Here is a 15575-nt window from a genome sequence, read left to right as displayed (position 1 = left end):
CCCCAAAGGAATGAATCACTAATGGTGGAATTTCAGACACCAGAGGTGGTTTACAAGCGCTCCCGGAAATCATTACTGGGATCACAACATACTCCACCCAAGTGTAAGGACATTTGCAATTCTTACCAAGTCCCAACTAGGAAAAAATCTTAAGAGCTACCTCCTTTTCCAACATCTCCTCTTTCAGAAGTGTGACATATAATCCGGGATAAATTTATCTCAATCTGCCCCAAAACTGTGCCTGATACATGGTAGGCACTGAATAAATATGTGTTGACACCGTTAGCGCAGGCAGGGGCCATGCAGCTCACTCTTGTCACAGTTAAAGGATATGAAGGCCAGGCTCAGTGGCTCACGCCTGTAATCCTAGCACTTTGGGAGGCAGAGATGGGAGGATCACTTGAGGCCAGGAGTTCAAGACCAGCCTGGGCAACATGGTAAAACCCCATCTCCACAAAAATTACAAAAATTAGCGGGATGTGGTGGCGCGTACCTGCAGTCCCAGCTACTCAGGAGGCTGAGGCATGAGAATTGCTTGAACCTGGGAGACAGAGGTTGCAGTGAGCTGAGATCACGCCACTGCATTCCAGCCTGGGCAACAGAGTGAGATCTTGTCTCAAAACAAAAACAAAACAATACAAAGGACACGAAGCTCTCCCTGGAGCCATCAGAGTGCCAAGAGCCACACCTTCCAACAATCACCCTTCATCACGGCCTCCACATAATAATTTATCTGTCAGTCCTTAGGATGGAATCACAGCCGGTCAGAAAGGGCTCCCAACCACATAATTGGCTCTTTAAGCTTTGGGGAAATCTTGCAACATCATTTAGGTTCAATCCAATTGTTTTCAACTCTTAAAAGTACTTCTACAACACCAAAATTGGGACCAGATTAGGGATGCCGTACACACAGCCCCTGCCCCGCCACCCCCACCACCAAGGCAAAGGCACAAATAATTAAACCGATTATGATGCTCTTTTCTGCTGAGCCAAGAGGTGGTTTCAGAATCTTTCTCAATGCACAGGGCTTGCTCTGTTTAGTTATAGGAGCTGATGTGCACCTGGATGTCACGCCTACAGCGTGAATTCCTTTTGGGAGAAAAAAAAAATGTTTCTACAAAAATCCATTGAATTTGGCCGGACACAATGACTCATGCCTGTAATCCTAGCACTTTGGGAGGCTCACCTGAGGTCAGGAGTTCGAGACTAGCCTGGCCAACATGGCGAAACCCTCTCTCTACCAAAAATACAAAAATTAGCTAGGCATTGTGGTGGGCGCCTGTAGTCCCAGCTACTCAGGAGGCTGAGGCAGGAGAACCGCTTAAACCTGGGAGGCTGAGGTTGCAGTCAGCCGAGGTTGTGCCACTGCACTCCAGCCTGGACAACAGAGTGAGACTCTGCCTCAAAAAAAAAAAAATCCATTGAATTTACCATTCATGACATGCACATTGTATGTTTATGAGGCTTTTGTTGTTTTTGCCTGTGTCTGCTCCCTCCTTCTTCTGGGGCCAGCACCCTCATTTCCCTTGGGGACTCCCCTTTCCCCATTCCCAGCTCAGTGGAGAAACTGAACCCAGAACTGGGGGGAAATGGGAAGAGAGAGACAGACAGACAGATAATCCCATCGTAATCCATTTGGGCCTCCTTGGGTTTTTAGGTAGGTGAGCCCATAAAATCCCTTTCACTCTGGCCAGCTTGAGGGGGGCCTTCTGTCTTGTACCTAAAGCGCCCTGGCTGACCTCATGCAAGCACTGAGCTGGCCACAAAAGGTGATCCCAATGTGACAAAAGGTCCCTGTCCTTTAGGGGCTTCTCAGTCTAGCAGGTGATTAAACATAGACTCAAGTAACCAGCCATGGAGTTGAAAATCCAGCTAAGAGCTACAATGGAACCAGAGAAACCGGCTCCCCTCCCACGTGAGTACGCACCCCGCTCTTCCACTGGGCATCTGATGAGCTCCTGACCCCCCATTCAGGCTCACAGGAATCCTGGACCAGCTATCAGGAGACTGGGTATGAGGCCTTGCCCCACTGTTAACTCATGGTGTGAACCAATCACCCTGGGCCTCGATTTCCTCATCTGTAAAATAGGAATGAAAATGCCAAGTAACACCAGGCCGAAGGCCATGGAATGGAGCTGCAGTGTCCAGACCTCAGCGGGGAGGGTGGTCACTATGACAAAGGACAGGCTGCCTCTGGGGCTGGACCCAAACCAGTGCCCCACAGGTTCCTTTCCCTTGGGTGAGGTGCAGAGAAGAGAGACTCCACGGAAACCGCTGTATTGGGCTGTCCCTCCCACAGAACGCTTGAGATGAGAGAGCCTGAGGAAGCTTCTAGTCCAAGCTCTTCCTCCCATATCCAGAGTATTCACTCATTTGAAATTGGGGAATTAGCTAGGGGAGCATTTCTAGGAGCAAATTTACTCGCTACTCCCCTCACCCTTTTGTTTTGTTTTGTTTTTGAGACAGAGTCTTGCTCTGTTGCTCAGGCTGGAGTGCAGTGGCCCAATCTCGGCTCACTGCAACCTCCACCTCCTGGGTTCAAGCATTCTCCCACCTCAGCTTCCTGAGTAGCTGGGATTACAGGCGCGTGCCACCATGCCTGGCTAATTTTTGTACTTTTAGTAGAGATAGGGTTTCACCAGGCTGGTCTCGACCTCCTGACCTCAGGTGATCTGCTCACCTCGGCCTCCCAGAGTGCTGGGATTACAGGCATGAGCCAGCGTGCCTGGCCACCCTACTCCCTTTTTATTCACGGAACAGATAAACCTCTCCAGTCACCCAGGCCCCTCACCCTGAGGTCCACCCTTCATGACCTTCTCTGTCCCCCTATTAAGCCAGGTGCCCTGGCCAGCCCTCTTCTCCCAGGGGACAGCAGTGCCTGGGGCAGCAGGGTCTGGAGCCAGTACCTCGGTCTGCCCAGCAGAAAGGTCAAGCCAACTGGGAGCCGCTGCTCTCTTTAAAGGCTCTCCAAGGAGTTTCTGCCACCTCCCAGGCTCCCTGGCAGACCAAAGGTTGATGGTGAGGGCCAGGGTCGGGCCAGGGCCGGTACTCAGGACTGACCTGCCTGTGGCGAAGAGTGATCAAGCCCATCAGACCTGACAATTTGCCTTTCAACTCCTTACTTCCCTTCAGCAAACCCGCCCCAGTTCCACAGTCAGGAGCGCTCCCATGCAACCCACACACCTTCCGTATAAGTGGGGAAAAATTCAAAGCTAAAAAATACATTCTTTTTAGTCACTGTTCCATCCCTGTCACCAACTACCACCAGCAGAGCCGCTAGCCGCCAACGCCTTTAAAAACGCCTATGTGGGTATCCCCCTGCCTCTGCACCCACACCTTCCCCTAAGAAACGTTCAGAAGCTCTGAATTACCAAAATCAATTACTCCAAGAAGGAACTCAGGCAGACAGGCACTAGAATAAAGACAGCAGATAATTCCCACTGTCAGGTAATTGCTCCCCAGAGAATTTCAGATAAAAAAGAGGACTCTAAAAGAGAGCATTTTCCCCCAGAAAGGCAGGAGAAGGCTGTGCCTCAATAAACAGAAGGCTCTTCTCTTCCCTGCAGCCTTCCCGCCCCTCCCTCGCCTGCATCCTGCAGGAGGCAACCACATAGGGCCACAGGAATCCCCAGGGATCAGGGTGGGAGGAAGGTGGGGTCGAATTTTGGGGTCCCAGGCCCAGGGACAGGGCTGGGTTCTCAAAGGACATTTGACTCTCATGTCCCTTCTTGGGCAGGGACACAACAGGGTCCCAAGGCTCCTGTTACACATGGGCCCAGGGACACAAGATTAGCAGTTAATCTGTCTCTATTCCATATGTCCATCTCGCCACCTCGACAAGGCCAAAAGATCTTTGAGGCCGGGCACAGTGGCTCACACCTGTAATCCCAGCACTTTGGGAGGCCAAGGGAGGTGGATCACTTGAGACCAGGAGTTCGAGACCAGCCTGGTCAATATGGTGAGGCCCTGTCTCTACTAAAAATATAAAATTAGCCGGGCATGGTGGTGCGCACCTGTAATCCCAGCTACTCGGGAGGCTGAGGCAGGAGAATCGCTTGAACCAGGGAGGCCAAGGTTGCAGTGAGCTGAGATTGTGCCACTGCACTCTGGCCTGGGCAACAAAGTGAGACTGTCTCAAAAAAAAAAAAAAAGAAAGAAAGTTATTTGAAAGCAGGTCCTTGGCTACCATGTCCAGCCCTTCCTTGCCACCCAGCCTTGGACACTCATTATAAAGGACCTGCCAATTGACCCAAGAGGTGATGGAGTGGTAGACACTGGGATTTACCTGAGGCTAGTCACTGAGTTCTCTGGGCTTTGGTTTCCTTCATTATAAGAGGAGATAGCATCAAACTGTTATATAGATGTCTACAACGCCACCTCTCCAGGAGTGTCGCAAAGCTTATCAATAGGCATTCCAAGAAGAAAGTGTTCTACAGTCAGAGGTTTGGAAAGTTCTGGAGTAAACAAATCTCAGCAGGTTTCTTTACTGCAGGATTTCTCAGAACCTTTAAAATTGTTCATATGGATTGGTACTATACAAAACAGGTACATAAAGTATTCAGCAGCCTTTTCTTAACCTTCTTTTCTACAAAGCATCTTACCAGGTTACCATTCCATGGAACATACTTGGGCCGACAACTATTGCAGACATAAGGCGTAACAAGGATACACTAAGGCAGTTAAGGTTGAGGGGCCATAGGAAATTTCATGGAGGGCACAGTGCTTGAGATAACTTCTGAAAGGAAAAGAGGCCCAGCACGGTGGCTCACACCTGTAATACCAGCACTTTGGGAGGCCGAGGCTCGTGGATCACCTGAGGTCAGGAGTTCAAGACCAGCCTGGCCAACAGGACGAAACCCTGTCTCTACTAAAAATACAAAAAGTAGCCGAACGCGGTGGTGCACCCCTATAGTCCCAGCTACTCAGAAGGCTGAGGCAGGAGAATCGCTTGAACCTGGGAGGCAGAGGTTGCTGTGAGCCAAGATCGCAACACTGCACTCCAGCCTGGACAATAGAGCAAGACTCCATCTCAAAAAAAAAAAAAAGAAAGAAAGAAAGAAAGAAAAAGAAAGGATTCTATGGGCAGAGACCAAATAGGGGATGTTCCAAATAGTAGAAACCGCACAACAGAATTGCAGAGGTGGGGCCGGGCGCAGTGGCTCACGCCTGTAATCCCAGCACTTTGGGAGGCTGAGGCAGGTGGATCATGAGATCAGGAGTTTGAGACCAGCATGGCCAACATAGTGAAACCCCGTCTCTACTGAAAATACAAAAATTAGCCAGGCATGGTGGCACATGCCTGTAATCCCAGCTACTTGGGAGGCTGAGGCAGGAGAATCACTTGAACCTAGGAGGCAGAGGTTGCAGTGAGCCGAAACCATGCCATTGCACTCCAGCCTCGGCAACAGAGCGAGACTCCCTCTCAAAAAAAAAAAAAAAAAAAAAGAAAAGAAAGAAGTGCAAAGGTGGGAGAGTCCTGGACACATTAGGTCCTGGTTATCATCTTGCAAGAAGGAGGTCAAGGCTAGAAAGGTAGGATGGGAAGGGTCTTTGGGTAAAGAACACGATGAGGATCCCTGAGTTAAAAGTAATGGCTTACTTACCAGTGCTTACCATGTGCCAGGCATTGTGTGAAGCAAAACTATTACAACATAGACCTATGAAGCCGGTTATCTTGTATCCTTTGTTTTAGAACCCAGGAAAATTAAGTGGCCGCAGTTAATTCCTGCAGCTACTAAGTGGCAGGGCAGGGATCTGAAGCCCCCCAGCACATCAGTTTCAACCCCATGTCTTTATCCAATCTGCTTCTCCACCCTAGAGCCATGAGGGACAGGGCAGAAGCCAACACCATCAACACTATCAAGCTGCGGAGAAGAGCCACTGATTTCTTGCCATCTGAAGACTTCTCCCTGTGCCTTGATTTTTAATTTGTATGCCATTGGACAGAATTTCTCCAACAAGTGCATAGGTCATTTGTTCTGAATATTTAAAAGGAGTCTTTTCAACTATCCCAGCACTTCTCCAATAAGTGCACAGGTCATTTGTTCTGTATTTAAAGGGAGCCTTTTCAACTATCCCTCCGCGAGTTTGCGAGAAGTTGCCCAAACACCAAAAACCACATGTGGCCAAACACATCAACATCCTCGACAAGATTTATGTTCCAAGCACGTGGCTGCTGCCTTGATTTATGGGGCCAGTGGAGCTGATCTAAGAGGAAGCGAACCTCTCAGGGGAAGGAGACATCATCATCATCAAATATCTCAATAATCATCTCAATCACAGTAAAAAAAAGGCACCGGGCCACTTCCTGCCCTAGCACTGGAAAGGAAGTGAAATTATTTGCCGCAATTCAATTTGGTAATTAACTAAACAATGCAAAGAGAAATTCCAGCAAGGATATAAATACTTTAAAAATCCCTGCACTAGTTGGTGAGGAGGATGTCAACAACAAACAGGAACTCCAGGGAAGGCAAGAGGCAAGGGCAGTCAGGTCGGGGTAAGGTGGGTCCCAAGCTAAAAACAACAGTGGCCAAGGTGGTTTATAATTACAGACACTACTTCATGCCAGCTCTGTGCTAAGCACTTTACACACATTACCTCACCGAAGCCTCAAAACACTGAGGAGCCCAGGCAGCTGCAGAAGGACCTGCCTGAGGGCACACAGTGGGAAGTGACAGACTCAACTCTTATCCCAAACCTGCATCTTCTCCTTCCACATCCCTCTGTTTCCTGTCCGAAAGCATAGCCTAGATAAATGGGGCTCTAGGAATAGCCAGGACAAATGGGGAAACTGAGGCAGGATTTGACATCCCCCCTCCCCACACCTCCCCAAGTGTCCTAACTGCCAAGCTTGGGGGCTCCCAGCTGACCTGGCTGCAAGACTCCGATGGAGAACTGGGTAAGCTCGGGAAAAGTGATTTTGCAATCCTGTTTGCAGAAACCTGAGCAGTTGTCCTCCTGGGCCTGGCTCTAGCCTTTCTTCCTCTGGGAAACCCACTTGACCTCTTACCTCCCCCCACCAACACGTACACACAACACACAAACACACACACACTGCTGTCTACAGCAACTTCACCAATTTGTGGCTTCCCCAAAGGCTGAGCAGGCTCTCTCTCTAAGGAGGACCCTGGCGGTTCTCGGAAGGGAGAGAGGGAGGAGCAGCAGCTGAGACTTGTTGGAGTTCCGCCCTGCCCCACCTTTACCCCGCATGCCTGCTTCAACAGACACTCACCCCGGTGACTTACACAGCAGAAACAAGCTCACGGGGACTGTGGATACCATGCAAAAGATAAATTTCAAGCACCTTAAAGAAATCTTTTTCTCTATTATCCCCTTTCTCTATTCATCAAAGCAGCTCCCTTAAAAACCCATGTTCAGACACCTTTTTTGGCCAATTTGAGACCCTGTGTATCTCCAAGAGAAAAATCATTCACATTAAAAATAATAATTTTTTTTTGAGGCAGGGTCTCACTCTGCTACCAAAGTGGGAGTGCAGTGGTACGATCACGGCTCCGGCTCGCTGCAGCCTCAACCTCCTCCCGGACTTAAGCGATCCTCCCACCTCAGCCTCCAGAGTAGCTGGGACTACAGGCACACACCACCAGCCCCAGGTAATTTTTTTTTTTTTGTAGAGACAGGGTTTTGCTATGTTTCCCAGGCTGGTAGATTGACTCTTTAATTCAGATCTTCCCCTACCCAGAACTACCTTCACCAAAGGCAGTAAGTTCTGGAAAGGGGTATGGCCAGAGGATCCCAAGACTGCTATAAAGTGCATTAAGAAGACCATCAGTAATAATAATGCAAATAATAAGTAATAACAAAACTGCAGCATTTATTAAATGTTTATGATGTGCAGACACTGTACTGTGTTCTTTCTTTGCACGTATAATTTTAATCTAGGCTGGGCACAGTGGCTCATGCCTGTAATCCCAGCACTTTGGGAGGCCGAGGCAGGTGGATCACTTGAGGCCAGGAGTTTGAGACCACCCTGGCAAACATGGTGAAACCCTGTCTCTACTAAAAATACAAAAATTAGCTGACTGTGGTGGCACACACCTATAATCCTAGCTACTCAGGAGGTTGAGGCAGGAGAATCACTTGAACCCAGGAGGCAGAGGTTGCAGTGAGCCGAAATCACACCACTGCACTCCAGCCTGGGCAACAAAGTGAGACCCTGTCTCAAAAAATTAAAAAATAATAATAATATAATAACAGCCCTAAAAAATAGGTATTATTATCCGCAATTTATAGTTAAGAATACTGAGGATCAGAGAAATAAGATAACTTTGTCCAAGGTCAAACAGCTGGTAGGTAGAGCAGCCAGAACCCAAAGCCAGGTCTGTCTGATGGACCTTAGACCACACACACACCCTTAGCCTGTCTGCTGTACTCAGCTTCCTTGGGGTGGGAACGAGTTACTTGGTGCTTCCCCTAGCTCCTACTCCAAGCCCAGGATTCAGTGGCCATCAACAGATTTCTGTTCCAAATCTGAATCAAAACCTATGGTCAAGGCCAGGCATGGCAGCTCATGCCTGTAATCCCAACACTTTGGGAGGCTGAGGCAGCCAGATCACTTGAAGTCAGGAGTTCGAGACCAGCCTGGCCAACATGGCAAAATCTAGTTTCTACTAAAAATTACAATTAGCCGGGCGTGGTGGCAGGCACCTGTAATCCCAGCTACTCAGGGGGCTCAGGCAGGAGAATTGCTTGAACCCAGGAAGCAGAGGTTGCAGTGAGCCAAGATTGCACCACTCACTCCAGCATGGGTGATGGAGTGAGACTCTGTCTCAAAAACAAACAAACAAACAAACAAATCTTATGGTCACTCCACTCAAAAGGAAATCCCTTAGCGAGCCCCTGCCTTGAAGATACCTTCTAGGGGAGGATGGGAAAGGAATTACAATCAACATTCACAAAGCCAGTGACCTACAGGGGGTGGAAAGAGATGGGCCCAGGACTGGCGGTCCGTGAAACCATCTTCAAATACGCCCTTCCTCTCATGGAGCCTGCATACCGCTGTACCTGCTCTCCTCTGCGCCCCCCTCTGACTATTCAAGGACAGCACTACTCAAGGACAGTGGGGAGATGGAGAACGATATCAGCGTAGAAAAAGACCCTTCATCCATCACCTTCCCACCCCTCACGTGCTGAATTACACCTGGTTTCTCCATACTTACACTTCCACAATCCCTTAGGAGGTAGCCCTGCAGCTAGAGGGCAGGGCAGCAGAGTGCCTGACACGAGAGGCTTTGGAGTTGGGAAGACCTGCATTCCAACCCTGGCTCTGCCCTTCCCAGCTGGGTGACCTTAGGCAAGTCACTCCTCCTCTCTGGGACTCAGTTTCCTCATCTGCAAAACAGAGGTGAAAACAGGATCTCACAGGTCTATTGTGAGAACTAAATGGGCTGATGAGCCGAGTGGCTGGTCCATGGGAAGTACTCAGAAAGTGTGAGCTGCTAGGTATTATCATTACAGCCCAGAGAGGCCATGCACCGTACTCAGGGTCACACAGCCAATGTGAGGCAGAGCAAATGCTAACACCAGGTTCTGGCTCTGGTCCAAGCTCCTTCCTAACACAGAGCCACTATCCTGGGAAGCTGTGAGATGGCACAGTACAAGTGCTTATCATGGCTCAGCAGCTTCCCCAAGCCCACAGTTCATGAGCCAAGTACAAAGTCCCAACCAAAAGGTTTGTTTTTCTTATACACACACACACACACACACACATACACAAAATCAAGTAGCTCAGAGTGAAAGTTCCCAAACCTTGGCATCCTCCCCTATCCAGAGGTGAGTAGTGATCTCATCCCTGTGACTAAGCCACACCGACGCCAGGAGCCCTCTCTGGGAACCTGCAGGCTTGGCGTTGCTGGCTCCCAGCCCCAGGAGGAGCCAAGGCTGCAAAACTGGGATTCTTGCAGAGCTGGGAATTCTTGGCTCTTGGAGCTGAGAAGCAGGGTGGCTCTGAGAAGTGGGTGATGTTGCAGCCAAGGACCAAGATAGCCCTGGAGATCCAGGTTTGAATCCCAGCTCTGCCAGGAACTTGTCATGAAGTTTTAGGCAAACCCAGGCCTCTATCCCCCTAATTCTAAAATGGATAGATCGCACCAGAAGATTTCCAATGGTCTGTCCAGCTTACATCTTGCTTAGCTCCTGTCCTGCCCACCAGGGGCCTTGGCCTAGCTAGGGAAGGAGCAAAGAGTTAATAAACATACAAGTTAGAGGGCCATGGGCACTAAAATGTACAGAAAAGGTCAGTGTTGCTGGAACAATCAGTGCAGGATGCCTGGAGAAGTTGGGAGCCGAATGGGGGTCCCAAAGCGGGAGGGATGGAAGTGAGAAGTGGAGAAAACTGATCCTGGTGGTCTGGGAGCTTGTCAGTGGCAGGGTGTCAGATGCACTAGACAGCCTGTAAAAGTTTCAATGAGTCAGGTCGGGCTAGAACTTCAGCCACTACCTCCTCCCTGTCACTTAATTCCTCCCACCATGGGGAAGACAGACAGATGGACAACCAGGAGCACCTAGATTAAAAACTAGAAGGCTGGGCGCAGTGCCTCACACCTGTAATCACAGCACTTTGGGAGTTCGAGGCGGACGGAGCACCTGAGGTCGGGAGTTCAAGACCAGCCCGGCCAACATGGCAAAACCCCGTCTCTACTAAAAACACACAAAAAAATAGCTGGCCGTGATGGCACACACCTGTAGTCCCAGCTACCAGGGAGGCTGAGGCAGGAGAATCGCTTGAACCTGGGATGCAGAGGTTGCAGTGAGCCGAGATTGCGCCACTGCACTCTAGCCTGGGCGACAGAGCGAGACGCTGTCTCAAAAACAAACAAACAAACAAACAAACAAACAAAAACTAGAAAAAGCCGAGAAACCTAGTTACAGACTTTGCCCCAGAGGGGGCTCCTCCCCAAACCAAGAGGCAGCAGAAAACGGGGTGCTCCCCCTAGCACGATGCAAGGTTCCATAAGGAGAGGTCAGGATGGACAGGTGTCTTCTGAGGGTTTAAAAAATATATATTCTGTCAAACACCATAAAGTAATACCTACAGCAAAGCCAGTTAGCACATCATTGCAATGCATGGTTGTTACAGCAGGAAGCTACTGTGCTCTGTAATCCTCAATGGCTCCCTATTGCCTACAGCTTTATGTTCACTATCCTTATCATAGCATTCTAGGTCCTCGATTTGGGGTCCTGATGGTACTTTTCTGCTTTATTCCCATCACTACCTTACCCCCCCAACTCCTGCTCCAACCAGTTACAGTCCTCGGCTGCTCCCCAAGCCCATCATGAGCCTTTGCTCCCTGGGACCTCAATTCATTCTCAGTCTCCCTGCCATCCTTGCTGCTTTGCTTAAAAATCTACCCCTATTGTTTCCACCAACCCGCTTCCCTCCTGGAGCCTGTTGACTCTCATCTGGCTTCTCCTAAGAATATAAAACACAGACCTCAGGGGCTGAGGATCAGACAGGTTCTGCCACTGAATTTGGGGTACAGTCTCAAGTAAGAAATTGGGCACGCACCTCCACACGCTCATTTATAAAGCGGGCAGTGCAACCTCTCCCCACGTCAAAGGCTGCCGAGCCACTCAAGTGAGATAATGGAGCCATAGGGCTCTGCACAGCGTCAAGTGTGACACGAACTCAAGGGATTAGGGTGTCTATTTTTAACTCCCCACATCCTGGCTGAAAAACAAATCTCTCACACACCCTGCAGATCCCTATCAGAGGGGCTGACAGAGCCTTTTGGGAATTCTCTCCTCCCGGAAGCAGCGCCAGCTTTGATTGCGTTCCCTCTGCCGGGAAAGGCTCTGAGGTCCCTGCTCTGGCCAGGGCCTGCTTCCATTATGTCTTCTGGCTGGGTCCTGCTGCTCCCGGCAAACAGCCGTTGCCTGGTAGACTCAGTTGTCACACATTCTACAGCCAGTGATAGTCAGACAGGGTCACCAAAGATGCTGAGAAGAGTCCCTCATTCATCTGCTTATTTATTTACTTATTCACATTCCCTCCCCTCCCCTCTTAAGAGGTTGGTCTTGCTCCAGGGTCACCCAGAGGGGAAAACCATGAGGCACCTGTGCTAGGATGCCTCTGTCTAAGGACAGGGGCAGGGGCAGAGACAGATAAACTGATAAGGCAATAGTAAGTAGGACAGGAAGCAACAAAGGAACGATGGGGTGGTGACTCATGTCTGTAATCTCAGCACTTTGGGAGGCCAAAGTGGGAAGATTGCTTAAGTGGGAGGATTGCTTGAGGCCAGGAGTTCGCCAGCCTGGACAACACAGCAAGACCCCATCTCTACAAAAAATAAAAAAATTAGCTGGGCATGGTGGTGCTTGCCTGCAGTCCCAGCTACTTTGGAGGCTCAGATGGGAGGATTGCTTGAGCCCAGGAGTTCAAGCTACAGTGAGCCATGATTGTGGCACTGCACTCCAGCCTGGGTAACAGAGCAAGACACCATCTCAAAAAAATAAGAAAAACCCAAAGGAATGATAGGAGTATGTGAACATAAAACCAGACCATCATCAATCTCTCTCCTCTCCCTCCAGTACCCTAGCATCCATCAGACCTCACTCCAAGATGAGTCTTTACTAGGTATCAGCCACTGTCACCTACAAGGACAGGGGGCTTCCTACTTCAGGACAGAGATCTCTGACCTGGTCACCTGACCCATCTGCGCAGGTGTTCTCTACGTTCATAAGAACACTGCCGGCCAGGCATGGTGGCTCATGCCTATAATCCCAGCACTTTGGGAGGCCCAGGTGGGTGGATCACTTAAGGTCAGGAGTTTGAGACCAGCCTGACCAATATGGTGAAACCCTGTCTCTACTAAAAATATGAAAATTAGCCAGGCATGGTGGCATGCACCTGTAGTCCCAACTACTCGGGAGGCTGAGACAGGAGAACTGCATGAACCCAGGAGGCAGAGGTTGCAGTGAGCTGAGATCACGCTACTGCACTCCAGCCTGGGCAACAGAGCGAGACTCCATCTCAAGAAAAAAAAAAAAACAAAAAACAAAGAACGCTGCCATTCTCCCTGGTCCCACCTCCCTCACCCCCCACTGCCTGAGTTCACACTCATCCAATGATGGTAACAGGGAAAATGATCCCAACACAAGAATGTCAAAGAAAAAAAAATCCTCACTCTGAATTGGGAGCCGTCAATAAGGAGAGCCTCCTTCCAACAGCCACTCTGAGCCCTGCCCGTGAGCACTGGACCTGGAGTGAGGGGAGTCAGGGAAGTCCTGAGCTGCATCCTTCCAGCCATGGGAGCTGAGCTGTGTTTCTCAGAGCCTTGGTTTCCTCAGCAGAAAGTCACAGGGGGACTGGGAGGGGACCCTCTGCAGAAAGCACCTTGCACACCAGAAAGTGTGATATAAATGCTTTGTGCTGTAGCATACATTATTATTATTATTATTATTGAGACAGAATCTCACTCTGTCACCCAGGCTGGAGTGCAGTGGTGCCATCTCAGGTCACTGCAACCTCCACCTCTTGGGTTCAAGCAATTCTCCTGCCTCAGCCTCCTGAGTAGCTGGGATTACAGGCATGCACCACCACACCTGGCTAATTTCTTTCTTTATTTTTTTTTCTTTTTGTATTTTTATTACAGACGGGGTTTCACCATGTTGACCAGGCTGGTCTTGAACTCCTGACCTCAGGTGATCCCCCGCCTTGGCTTCCCAAACTGCTGGGATCACAGGCGTGAGCCAGCACACCCAACCTTAGTATATATTTTTGGTCCTCATTTTTTTCTTTCCCTTTTGGCCTCTGAGACTCAACAGCCCTCTCTGAACTCAGGGACAGATGTTTCTGTGGACTTTCTGGCCACAAATAACTGTGCAACCCCAGAACAGTTATGTGACTCCTCGATGTTCATGTCTGTGGGGACCATGTCTGTGGGCCCCCGACACAATCCCAATAACCCCCACAGGCCCTTCACAAGTACTTTTTAAACACTCTTAAGAAAATGCTAAAGAAGCCAGGTGCGGTGGCTCATGCATACAACCCCAGCACTTTGGGAGGCCAAGGTGGGAGGATTGCTTGAGCCTAGGAGTTCAAGACCAGCCTGCGCAATATAGTGAGACCTCATCTCTACAAGAAGAAAAATTTTTAAATTAGCCAGGCATGACGGCAAGCGCCTGTAGTCCCAGATACTCTAGGGAGGCTAAGGTGGGAGGATCACTTGAGCCCAGGAGGTGGAGGTTGCAGTCAGCCAAGATCATGCCACTGCACTCCAGCATGAGTGACAGAGTGAGACCCTGTCTCAAAAAAAACCAACAATAATTCTAAAGAAGCAGGTGAATTTGGCTATTCTCATTTGAGACCTGAAATTCAGCCTGCAGGTGGGGACTGACACTGACAGGTGGCTTTCCCTAACCTGCTTTTAGGCCGGTCCCCCTTGATGCCACACAGCCAGAATAAAGTTTTTTTTAAGAAGCAGATCAAGAACAATCCAAATGATGGGACCGGGCATGGTGGCTCATGCCTGTAATCAACACTTTGGGAGCCTGAGGCGGGTGGATCACTTGAGCTCAGGAGTTCGAGACCAGCTTGGGAAACATGGGGAAACCCTGTCTCTACAAAAAAATACAAAAATTAGCTGGGCATGGTGGCGAGCACCTGTAGTCCCAACTACTTGGGAGGCTGAGGTGGGAGGATCATTTGAGCCTGGAAGGCGGAGGTTGCAGTGAGTCAAGATCGCGCCACTGCACTCCAGCCTGGGCGACAGAAGGAGACCGTGTCTCAATTAAAAACAAAACAAAACAAAACAAAAATCCAAATGAGGCAGAGAAGTTCTCTGCAAACCAAAGGCATCTCTCTTCTGTCCCTTGCTAGAGCCAGCCCTGCCCAGAGCAGACTGCGAGGCTCTCCACTTGACTCTGTTGAGGAGGGGGGTGCAGGCACGGCAGTTGGAGCAGGAGTGGAAAAATCATGCCTGATTCAAAGCTAGTCCAACTCTACAAAGCTTTCCAAGCATTCACTAGGGCATTCACTAGAGCAATTTCTAAAGCCCAGAGCCCATCACGGGGGACAGGCAGCGGACAACGACAGGCAAAGCAGGGCAGTTAGTAAGAAAGAGCTACAAGCCCGGAGGAACGGCTCACCCTTAGGGGGGCAATGAGAACAAATGGAGGTGAAATTGGTGCTACACCCAGAGGGGCAGGAAGAATTTGGGCAGTAAGCAGTGGCAGAGAGAAAAGGGCATTCTGGAAGTCACAGGCCAAGTCCAGGCAACATAAAACCTGAAGAGCAGAGAAAGAAGAGGCAGGGAGGAAAACTGGAGCCAGACATGGGGCCGTGTTTGCCAGGCCAGGGAGCTTGGCTTTGATCTCGTGGTTAACAGGAAGTCACTCACATGACAGTAAGTGGCCAGCAGAGGCTGTGGTTACTAAGGGCTACTGTAGGAAGCTGGGTTGCTGGAGGCCCACCTGGGATGGGAAACAGGCAGCTGGACCCCCTCAGCCAGCTGCTCGCCCCAGGGAGAGGTTAGAACCGTTCAGGTCAGATTCAGGAAAGGCTGAGGAAGCCCAGAGGAGAGACATGTGATGGCTTGGAAGGGAGACAAGGCTCTTAC

General features: G+C 49.9%; 1 protein-coding gene across 1 annotated transcript in view, besides 1 other annotated feature; it reads right to left on the bottom strand.

The window, feature by feature from the left end:
• DAB2IP (DAB2 interacting protein) overlaps positions 1-15575 on the bottom strand; it is a 218457-nt gene that overhangs the window by 165748 nt on the left and 37134 nt on the right. The gene's annotated exons all lie outside the window — the stretch shown is intronic.
• Positions 14448-15235: an enhancer, noted in NCBI's record as "H3K4me1 hESC enhancer chr9:124366827-124367614 (GRCh37/hg19 assembly coordinates)". NCBI's record gives its function as "activates a minimal SCP1, AML or CMV promoter by ChIP-STARR-seq in primed H9 embryonic stem cells {active_cell/tissue: H9 hESC(primed)}" and the evidence as "EXISTENCE:reporter gene assay evidence [ECO:0000049][PMID:30033119]".

Source organism: Homo sapiens, chromosome 9 (assembly GCF_000001405.40).
Source record: "Homo sapiens chromosome 9, GRCh38.p14 Primary Assembly".
Taxonomy (NCBI): domain Eukaryota; kingdom Metazoa; phylum Chordata; class Mammalia; order Primates; family Hominidae; genus Homo; species Homo sapiens.
The sequence above is the reverse complement of the archived record's forward strand: the minus strand, read 5'-3'. Positions and strand labels throughout refer to the sequence as shown.